This window comes from Homo sapiens, chromosome 17, assembly GCF_000001405.40.
Source record: "Homo sapiens chromosome 17, GRCh38.p14 Primary Assembly".
Lineage (NCBI taxonomy): Eukaryota > Metazoa > Chordata > Mammalia > Primates > Hominidae > Homo > Homo sapiens.
In genome coordinates this window covers 28407946-28419349 of record NC_000017.11, presented here as the reverse complement: position 1 = coordinate 28419349, position 11404 = coordinate 28407946, and the positions used below count along the sequence as shown (strand labels likewise).

Below are 11404 nucleotides of genomic sequence, written 5' to 3'. Positions count from 1 at the left end.
GCCATAATGTGCTTTTATGAGAGGTCCATCTTCCTCTCTCTGAGGATGCACAATCCACACGTTTATACTTCATTAGGCCATAAAGACACTGTAAGAGGCCAGGCGCAGTGACTCATGCCTGTAATTCCAGCACTTTGGGAGGCCGAGGCAGGCGGATCACTTGAGGTCAGGAGTTCGAGACTAGCCTGGCCAACATGGTGAAACCCTGTCTCTCCTAAAAATACAAAAATTAGCTGGGTGTGGTGGCAGGCGCCTGTAATCCCAGCTACTTGGGAGGCTGAGGCAGGAGAATTGTTTGAACCTGGAAGGCGGAGGTTGCAGTGAGCCAAGGTGGCACCACTGTACTCAAGCCTGGGTGACAGAGCAAGGCTCCGTCTCAAAAAAAAAAAAGAAAGAAAGAAAAAAAAGAAAAGAAAAAAGGAAAAAAAAAGCACTGTAAGAGACTCTGGGACTGGGAGCAGTGGCTCACGCTTGTAATCCCAGCACTTAGGGAGGCTGAGGCGGGCAGATCACAAGGTCAGGAGTTTGAGACCAGCCTAACCAATATGGTGAAACCCCGTCTCTACTAAAAGTACAAAAATTAGCCGGGCGTGGTGACGGGCACCTGTAATCCCAGCTACTTGGGAGGCTGAGGCAGGAGAATCACTTGAACCTGGGAGGTGGAGGTTGCAGTGAGCAGAGATCGAGCCACCGTACTCCAGCCTGGGCGACAGAGCCAGACTCCGTCTCCAAAAAAAAGAGACTCTGGGCCAGGCGCTGTGGCTCACGCCTGTAATCCCAGCACTTCGGGAGGCCAAGGGGGGGTGGATCACGAGGTCAGGAGATCGAGACCATCCTGGCTAACATGGTGAAACCCCATCTCTACTAAAAATACAAAAAAATTAGCTGGGCGTGATGGTGGGTGCCTGTAGTCCCAGCTACTGGGGAGGCTGAGGCAGGAGAATGGCATGAACCTGGGAGGCGGAGCTTGCAGTGAGCTGAGATTGCACCACTGTACTCCAGCCTGGGAAAAAAACAAAAAACAAAAAAATACTCTGGAGGGAGAGGGACAAGGTACAAGGCTTGGAAAGGAAGACCAGACACTGGCAGCAGCAAACTACCACTGCAAACAAGGTCGAGAATTAGGGCTCCTAGAAGAATCCTATGTTGGTGTTCATCTGTGTTCTAGTTCACACCAGTAGTCCTGAGGTGGACTTTCAAAAAATCCTTAATTCACCATGTTAGAGATTTCACATTCCCATTTCTTCGTATTTAATTAATTAGTTTTAATTTATTTTTATTATTTATTTTTATTTTTGAGATGGAATCTCACTCTGTTGCCCAGGCTGGAGTGCAGTGGTGTGATCTTGGCTCACTGCAACCTCCACCTCGTGGGCTCAAGCAATTCTCTTGCCTTGGCCTCCCGAGTAGCTGGGACTACAGGCATAAACCACCATGCCCAGCTAATTTTGTAATTTTTGTAGAGACAGAGTTTCACCATGTTGCCCAGGCTGCTCTCGAACTCCTGGGCTCAAGCTATCCTCCCATCCCGGCCTCCCAAAGAGTTAAGATTATAGGCATGAGTCACTGTGCCTGGCCAACAGGTTTATTTATAATTATTATAAAGTTGTACTGCTAAAACTTGTTCACTGAAACATTCTGACTTGCATTGATGCTTTACCTCCCTGCATTTATACTAAAAACTCATACACAGATGAAAATGGGAAAACGGCCAATTGATTTCTCTCCCTTATTTTTCTACTCTCAATCATATACTTAAGACCCTATGGGAAAAAAAACCTGACATTCAGAATTACCAGTAATAGGAAGAAGAGAAAAATATTTTGGGAATGAAGTGTTTCCCATCATAGTTAATTCTTAAGCACGTTCTCTACGTAGGCAGTGTGTTAGCTGGATGTCTTTTGGCATAGTTGTTACACGTTTGGCATGGGTTGCACACAACTCGGTGTCTTCAAAAGGCCAAACAGACAGGCCTCACTTCCCTCCTGCAAAACACCAATAGCTGCGCTCTGGAAGCACAGATCTGTTTTTTGTTTGTTTGTTTGTTGTGACGTGCTTTCACCATGTTGGCCAGGCTGGTCTCAAACTCCTGGCCTCAAGTGATCCACCCAAACTGCTGGGATTACAGGCACCAGCCACCTGTAATGGTGCATGTGCCTCTGGGCACGTGAGCCCACCGTGCCCGGCCAACACAGATCTGTTTTAAAGTTCTGAGCAACTTTTCACACCAGACATTGGAAGGGAAGTTTGCAATCAGAGGTTTGGTGGACTTCTGAGCATGTCTACGTTCCCGGAGTGCCACAGTGGCAAGCCTGTAAGGATAGGGTTTCTTCATCTCTGCAGTAGAGGGCGCACTCTTGCAAGCGGCTTTTGTAGTCAGTAGCTCCCTGGGTGCTTTACCACAGGTCAATTTCAGGCAATTGGCTTTGTATCAGCCATGGTATAGAGACCTCCTTACTCACTCGCTTCTCCTTGTATAGAGTCCTCCTTTATCCTTCTCCTTGGGCTGTAGCTCGGCGAGCTAGAGGAAGCTCAGGGTTAGAGAGCAACAGTGGCATGGCTGCAGCTGCAAACATAATTGACTTCCTATCCTTACCTGAAAGATATCAGCACTAGAGTCGGCCCCAGTGTTCTCCGTTTTTCCACTCACTCTCATGAAATAAGGGCAAATGTCAGCCAAATGTCAAAATAACTGCGTAAAAAAAGCTAAAGTGAGCCGGGTGTGGTGGCTCATGCCTGTAATCCCAGCACTTTGGGAGGCTGAGGCGGGCGGATCACAAGGTCAGGAGTTTGAGACCAGCCTGGCCAACATGGTGAAACCCTGTCTCTACTAAAAATACAAAAAATTAGCTGGGCGTGGTGGTAAGCGCCTGTAATCCCGGCTACTCGGGAGGCTGAGGCAGGAGAATCGCTTGAACCCAGGAGGTGGAGGTTGCAGTGAGCTGAGATCATGCTATTGCACTCCAGCCTGGGTGACAGAGCAAGACTCCGTCTCGGGGAAAAAAAAAAAAGACAAAAAGAAAAGCTAAAACGGAGAAGGCACCACAGGACAGCCTCAAGTGAGGCAGGGCTGTGAGGCTGTGCCAGTTTAGCCTACCACAGGGGGCTTAGGAGCATCGGAGTTAAACATGAAAAAATCAATTCTGGGCCCATGGAGGGTAGCTGGCTACCTGGACAGGTTAACACCTGGGGAGTGCGTCTGCTGCTGTCATCCACCTAACCAGCTAGGCCTGGGCGGGGTTGCACCTTTTGCCTTCTCACTACCCCTGACTGGGTTTCAGCCTCAGATATGCTTCCCTGAGATTGCACTGGCCATAAAGATTAGGCCTGCCTGTCCCTAGTGCACCCCAGTTCCACCTTTGAGAGAAGAGCTACTCTCATCCCAGAATGTGTTGCATCTTGCTTGTTGGAGTCTCTAAGGATTACCTTATCAAGAGGCACCTTTGCTTCATTCCTCAGTATTAAATGTACAATTGATCCTGACTTAACCCATTGTGATCTGACTTCTATTTTTTTCCTTTTTTTAAAAAAAGATCTCACCTGCTGAAACTTCTGGGGTGACCACTGTTGAGTTTCAATTGCCAACGTTTCCCTAGACCTCTTTCTGTAGTACCTGGCATGTCACCACTCTCATCTGCAATTCTCTCCTTTTGGTTTAATGCTCCCTTCTGCTGCTTCTCTTCTTCCTCTCTGCCTGCTCCATCTTCCTCCCTTCATCCCGAAACGGTTGTGCTCCTTACTGACCCCTGCCTAGGCTCTCTGTCCCTTGTCATATCCTCTCAGGGTGGTCTGCTACTCCCAGGCTCTATCACACATATGCCGATGGCTCCTAGCGCTGCCCATCCTTGTTAGCTCTGGGTAGAGCTGCCCTTTGGAGCCCCCTCCACCAGGACATCACACAGGCACCTCAATCTCAGTAAGATCCAAATTGAACTCCTGAAGGTGAGGCGCGGTGGCTCACACCTGTAATCCTGGCACTTTGGGAGGCCAAGGCGGGTGGATCACTTGAGGTCAGGAGTTCGAGACCAGCCTGGCCAACATGGTGAAACCCTGCCTTTACTAAAAATACAAAAATTAGCTGGGTGTGGTGGTGTGCGCCCATAGTCCCAGCTACTTGGGAGGCTGAGGCAGGAAAATCGCTTGAATCTGGGAGGCAGACGTTGCAGTGAGCTGAGATCACACCACTGCACTCCAGCCTGGGCGAAAGAGAGAGACTCCATCTCAAAACAAAAACAAAAACAAAACCAAAACAAAAACAAAAAACACCCAACAAACTGAATTCCTTAGAGGCATCACCTGGCCCCTGCCGACTTCTTGACTTCTTCAGCCTCACACTGTCTCCGCATGGCTATAAAGTATAGCAGTACCAGATTGTAGTGGGCTGGCCACTAAGGTGTTCCTTATCGCTAATTAAATCGGCCTAAAATGGGAGAAAACAGAATGCTTTTCAGATGCTTGGAATAGTAGCTTGGTGTTGTGTCACAGTGATTCCATCGCTTTATGTTCAGAAAGCCTTGGTCCACGCCCTTTAAGAAACCTGGGATCCTCTTCCCAGGCAGCAGCACAGCACAGGAAAGGGGCTGCAAGCTCGAAAACCTATAGGACCAGGCATCCTCTATGAGTGGAGGTGGGTAGTGGGGGAGTGGTGAAGTGGAGAACATATCCCACAGCTAAAGGGAGGGGACAGTCCCTTCCCAACTTCAGCAAGGTATTGCCTGATGTGAATGTTGCCATCATTTCTGAATTTTCAAGGGAATGCAAAAACCTGGATTTTTCATATGAATCTTCCAATTGTTAGATGTTGGCAACTAATTCAAAATTTAAAATACACGATGTGAGCCGATTATTTTTTTGAAAACAAGTGTGAATCAAACAAAACACATCTGTGGGCCATATCCAACCCCTGGGTCACATGTCTGTGAACTATTGAGAGTACAAAGTGTGGAGGCTTTGGAGTCAGACAGACATGGGCTGAATATCAGCTCTGTTACCCTTTAGCTGTGTGTCTTTGGGCAAGCCACATAACCTAATTCCTCATCTATAAAGCAGGGATCACAATACTTACCTCACTGAATTATAATGAGGATAAGAGATCATATATGTAAAGTGGCTGGCACACAGCAGTTCTCTAACTAAAAACTAACTATTACTGATCAGCACTATTGACAGACCTACAAAAAGAATGTATGTACATGGTCAGCATAGGAAAGTATGGTACAGGAACACCACCAAGGAAGTGCCACAACACTTCAGTCCCTAGAGGGCAGTTCTCAGCGGTGGCTTTCCTTGTGCCTGCTCTCCCTACTGCAAATCATCCTCCGTCCCTTGGCTCTGATTTGCGGCTCACCTAGCACCTTCCCGATCCCTGCTTCCATCTTCTATTTCCCTGGCACTGGGAATAGGCAGCCCTAGATAAGTGATGTGGCCATTACAGCCTACGAATAGAAACCCCGTGTTAGAAAAGAGCCTTCTGATTTGCACCCCCGTCTTGCTTGAGTTTAGTTCTCTGGTGCACTAAAAAAAAGTCAGGTGCTCCAGGGCTTCACAGCTGGGCTTCTGAGCCTGGGACTGGAGGGAGGGCCTGACCAGAAGATATCCTTCCTGAGACCAAATGGAATCCCTAGACATTACCCTCTATGTCACCCCCAAACTGTGTCAGCCAGGAGGCGCTCCTGCAGGGTCTCCCAGAGATCAAGAGACCTGGGCCATTTTTCTTATTTGAGAATCCAGAGAAACTAAAAATAAAGACTTGCCAAGACAGGCTTTCATAGCATATTTTAAATATTTATGTTTAATAAATTAACACGTTGTAACACACAATATAATGCTACTTAGCTGTATTAGTCACAGCATAATTACAGAATTAATATATACATATATATTTATACATACACACATATATTTTCTTGCCCCATGGGTCCCCATGAGTAAATATATTCATAGAGAACTATAGAAATTGGGACACCAGTTAAAACTGTGTGACTTTTTTTTTTTGAGACAGAGTCTCTCTCTGTTGCCCAGATTGGAGTGCAGTGGCATGATCTCGGCTCACTGCAATGTCTGCCTCCTGGGTTCAAGCAATTCTCCTGCCTCAGCCTCCCAAATAGCTGGGTCTACAGGCACGTGCCACCAAGCCTGGTTAATTTTTGTATTTTTAGTACAGACAATGTTTCACCATATTGGCCAGGCTGGTCTCAAACTCCTGGCCTCAAGTGATCTGCCTGCCTCCGCCTCCCAAATTGCTGGAATTACAGGTGTGAACCACCACCTCCGGCCAAAACTGTGTAAAGTATGCTCTTCTTTCTTTGAAAGCATTGGTGGGGAGTTAATACAGGCAGGACTTAAGGGGTTATAATCCTTGACATAAGGGAAGAAGGCAGAAATGAAATAATATAATTCACCCAAAAGATAAGAGAGGAGAAGTAAAGAAACAAAACAGGTAGGAAAAGAAGAAAAGATTTGGCAAGGCTGGGTGTTGTGGCTCATGCCTATAATCCTAGCACTTTGAGAGGCTGAGGTGGGATGATTCCTTGAGGCCAGGAGGTCAAGACCACCCTGGGAAACATAGTGAGACACTATCTCAAAAAAAAGATTTTTAAATTAAAGGAAAGATTTAGCAAGATGGTAGACTTAACCACAACTACATCAGTAATTACATTAAATGTAACTGGACTAAACACTCCAACTAAAAGACCAATTTAGGGAGTGAGTCTCTGGGACTGAATGTCTAAAATTGAAACGCTTTGTGAACATGAGGCCTTGGCTCATTTTCCTTCAGGGTGTCCTATGATGACTTCAGTACCCCCAACAAAATAGGTGTCCTTGCTGTCTCTCAGAACTTGCCTTTCCCACTGTACAGAAAGCCCTTTATCATGTCTTCTCTCTGTTGTCCTGGAGACTCCTTTTTACCATCTCATGCTTCAAAATTCAGCTCCTCTGTGAATCCTTTGACTTTCTCTTGATGACACACACACACCTTCTCTCTGAAATTATTCATCCTACGGCATGCTTTTGTTATTGTTATTTGAGATTTGTTGTGCTGCTTCCCACTAGCCTGAGGACTCATAGAAGGAAGGAATTATGTAAATTCTTGTCTGTAACCTCAGCACCTAGCAGTGGGCCTGGCAGGCGGTAGATGCTAAATGAATAGATGGATAGATGCAAAGGCTCTAGCAAAAGGAAAGTGTTTAAAATGAAACCAAGGGCAGGAGGCCAAAGACAGAAAGTGTTTTGTGAAATCTCCCCCATGCGGTAATGACATCTTTATGCACTTAATGCACCTCTAGCCCTGTACTTCTCTGAATTCTGGGTAGCATCCCTCTGTAAGGCCCAACTTTTCCTCTCACTTGGGACAGCCTCACTTCTTTCTGGTGAAATCCCTCCTACCTTCAAGCCCAGTTCAACAGCAATCATCATCTCTGGCACCTGGACACAGCCACATAAAGTTCACAGCCATACATATTTTCTCATTTGACCCAAACATCCACCCCATAGGTAGATATTATTACTTCATTTTTCACAGACAAGGAAATAGAGGCCCAGAAATTATTTCATTGATGAGAAAATTGAAGCCAGAAAGGGACTTGGTCAAAGTCTCACAGCGATGGGGGCATAGTTGCAGCTTCTACTCAGTGCTGGGAACACCCTTAGTTGTGACAAGGATGCTGCTTTGACTTTTAGGGTTGCTATGTGAGAAGCAACATCTCAAAAAGGAAAATAGCTTTTCTCTCATGCTGTCTCCTTCCTTCCTCTCAGTGTCTAAAATCATGAAGAGCTCTTTGGAAGCTGTAAGTGGCCTCTTGCAAAAAGGAGGCATAGGTTTTGGGTGGAGGCTGTGATAAGACTGCTGTTTGGATGAAGAATCCCTGTTGCAATCTTCTCTGTCACAGTGGTTGTATAGACAGCCTCTCGTAGGCATTATCCAACTGGAAGCAAAGAGAAACCCTTATGACTTCCAGGCACTTCCCCAAAGCCTCTCAAAATTTACTGAGTACATATCCTGGGGTTGGACAACACAGTTTTTAGTGCCAGTACTTACCATTCCCAAGCCCATGGCAGACATCAAGAATGAATCGCAGGACTCCTTCCCACAAAGCTGGAAAAATAGCCCATCTCAATGTAGCAATCCAGACAGATTCAATCAATTGACTGGAGTTGATGCATGTCATCAAAGTTATTTAACATTTTATCTTATTGCATGTCAAGCCCAGGGATAGGGAATACAGAGGTGAAAAAAATTTTCTCTGCCCTCAAATCTGGAGGCAGGACATAGGTAGGGGTTAAGAGGAGACAAACCTGGGAACACATATTTATAACCAGGTTAAGTTTAAAACCAGGGTTAAATGTATGAACCCAGTATTGTGGAAGTACATATTAGCCAATGACTAATTCCGCCTAGAAGTGAGACACAGAGGTGGGTTTTGAAGGATGAAAAGGAGCTGAATAGGCCAAGCAAAGTAGGAAGGGTATTACTGGCAAAGAGACTAACATATACTAAGGCTTAGAATAACAGAAAGCACTAGAACAGGTAGGTGTAAGGAAAAGAAAACCTGTACCCAGAGTGAGAAAAACCATTTCCCTTCATCCCTCTATGCTGTAGTTACATCATCTGTAAAAATAATAATACCTGGCCGGGCGCGGTAGCTCACACCTGTAATCCCAGCACTTTGGGAGGCCGAGGTGGGCGGATCACTTGAGGTCAGCAGTTTGACACCAGCGTGACCAACATGGTGAAACCCTGTCTCTACTAAAAATACAAAATTAGCCAGGTGTCCCGGCACATGCCTGTAATCCCAGCTACTTGGGAAGCCAAGGCAGGAGAATCGCTTGAACCTGGGAGGCAGAGATTGCAGTGAGCCGAGATCACGCCATTGCACTCCAGACTGGGCAACAAGAGTGAAACTCCATCTCAAAGAAAAAAAAATTGTAATACCTATCTCATAAGGCTGTAGTCAGGATTCAGTAAGATAATGTATGTAATGCCCTCAGTATGGTGCTGCCTGCTTCAATAAAAGTCAGCTCCTAGTGATGTCTCCAGAACATCAAGGAGCATGAAGCTGATATTTGGCAATTGAGCCAGAATACATTTGAAGGAGAGGAGTATCATCAGATTTTTAAAATGTTTATGTTTTCCATGATTAAAACATATGTTTATATCTGTTTATATCAGAAGGGTTGAAAACATTTTAAATAGAAGAAAAGAGAATCTTACCTAACCCTACTACCACGCAGAGAGGACTTCTGTTAATATATTGGTGCCATGGTTTCCAGTCTTTACTCAGTGCAATTCTTTTCTATGCCTATGACCATACCACATAAACAAGCTCTCTGTTTTTTCTACATACAAATTATTATGTAAGCAGTTTTCCATATTATTATAATCTCTTTGAACATATCATTTTAATGACTCATATTCATGGAGTGGATAGACTATAATTTACTCAGCCATTTCGCTACTGTTGGACACATAGGTTGTTTATCTTTTTTTTTTTTTTTTTACTCTTGTCAATATAATGTTATGGGAGAATATCTTAGCACATAAGGCTTTTTTCTGTACTTGAGACTATTTCCTTTAGATAGAGACCTACATGTAGAATTAGAGGCTTCAAGGGTCTTGATTAAAGGCTACCAAATTTTTTCCTGAAAGGGTGTATTTACACTCCTTCAGCAGTATTTGTTTCACTGTAGCCTTACCAGCTTTGAGCATTCTCATTTTAAACAAAATCATTGCTAATGTGTTGGCTGCAAAGAACAAGATCAAAGGCACAGTGTTTTTCTCACTATTCAGAAGCTGGAGAAGAGCTCATTTGTGTGTCTCACATGCATGTTCTGTGTTACAACCTCTCAGTGCTTGGTTTTTATCTGTTTACTGAGGGAGGGATCTTCAGGTTATTATCACATATAGTTAAAATAGTAACCCTTTGTCATATTTTATTTTATTTTATTTTATTTTTTTGAGATGGAGTTTCGCTCTTGTTGCCCAAGCTGGAGTGCAATGGCATGATCTCGGCTCACCGTAACCTCCACCTCCCGGGTTCAAGCAATTCTCCTGCCTTAGCCTCCCGAGTAGCTGGGATTACAGGCATGTACCACCACGCCCGGCTAATTTTGTATTTTTAGTAGAGATGGGGTTTCTCCATGTTGAGGCTGGTCTTGAACTCCTGACCTCAGGTGATCCACCCGCCTCGGCCTCCCAAAGTACTGGGATTACAGGCATGAGTCACTGCGCCCGGCCATATTTTAAAAGAAAGATTTTTCTTTCTTTTAATGACAAACAAATGACTTTGTTTGTCATTTGCCTTTGAATTAAGGCTTTATGTTCTGATGGAAATAAGTCTACAGATCTTTTCCTTTGCAATAGCTTCTCCTTTCCTGTAGAAATTTGACAGGCAGGACTTTTTAGCTCTCTCTGGGTAAGTCACCTTTCCCTCTGGACCTCAGTTTCCCTGTCTTTTAAATGGTTGGATGGGTGGAGATGTGATTTCTCAGCTTCCTTCTAGGTGGAGATTCTTGGGCTCTGGACTCCACAGTGCAGCTCAACATTGGCAACCCTCTCCACATGCTCTGGGACTCCAGCTGCGGAATCTCCTCTCCTTGAGACTGAGAGTTCATTCAGCGATCGTCTTTTGAGCATCTACCACACGCCAGGCACTATTCTAGATGCTGGGGATATGGTAGTGATGAAAAAACAAAGTCCCTGCCATCATGACCTCTAGTAAAGGGAGATGGACAACAAAGAAACCAGAAAGTTATAATTCAGATGGTGATAAACACTATGGAAAAAAATGAAACAGGGTAAAGGATTAGGGAGTGCCAGGAAGCAAGGAAGGAGGGAAGTTGCTTATATAGGAGGGTCAGGTGACATTTTAGTGGAGACTTGAAGGAAGTGAGGGAGCCGGCCAGGCAGATATCCAGAAGAGCATTCTAGGTAGTAGTTACCGCAAGTGTAAAGGCCCTAAAGCAGGAGGCCAGCATGGCTTGAGCACAAGGATTGAGGGGGACAAAGCAGGGGAGAGGGACAGAGAAGAGGTAGGTGGCCTTAGGGCTCTCATAAGGACTTGGCTCTCACTGAGCGAAATGGAAAGCCCAGGATGGTTTTGAGCAGGCCAGTGACCTGATTGCAGCTGTTTTCAAGGAGTTAGAAAAGACCTCTACCCTAGTGGGTACTGCAGGCTCTGGCTCTGGGATGAGCCACACCCTGTCCCATTCCTGATGAGGGACCTTGGCCTCTCCTAGCCTTAGTTCTTTATCTAAGAAATAATTCCAAGGATTTAGCCAAGTACCCCTCCCTCACTGCAGCTGACCTAACTGGGCCAAGCTTTTGTGTAAGTGGTAGGGAGGAGTTGGAAGGGGAGGGAGGAGAGTGGAGCCAATCCAGAGGCTTGAATGTTTAATGTGGAATTTC

General features: G+C 45.3%; 1 long non-coding RNA gene and 1 pseudogene across 1 annotated transcript, besides 1 other annotated feature; both read right to left on the bottom strand.

Annotated features, from left to right (window-relative positions):
• Positions 1861-2439, bottom strand: H3P41 (H3 histone pseudogene 41; annotated as a pseudogene).
• LOC124903964 (uncharacterized) lies at positions 5769-8648 on the bottom strand. The gene is made up of 2 exons (XR_007065688.1): positions 8039-8648; positions 5769-7925 (listed from the first exon to the last, which is right to left on the bottom strand). It is a non-coding gene; the product is annotated as an uncharacterized LOC124903964 (long non-coding RNA).
• Positions 10143-10983: an enhancer, noted in NCBI's record as "H3K27ac hESC enhancer chr17:26735385-26736225 (GRCh37/hg19 assembly coordinates)". NCBI's record gives its function as "activates a minimal SCP1, AML or CMV promoter by ChIP-STARR-seq in primed H9 embryonic stem cells {active_cell/tissue: H9 hESC(primed)}" and the evidence as "EXISTENCE:reporter gene assay evidence [ECO:0000049][PMID:30033119]".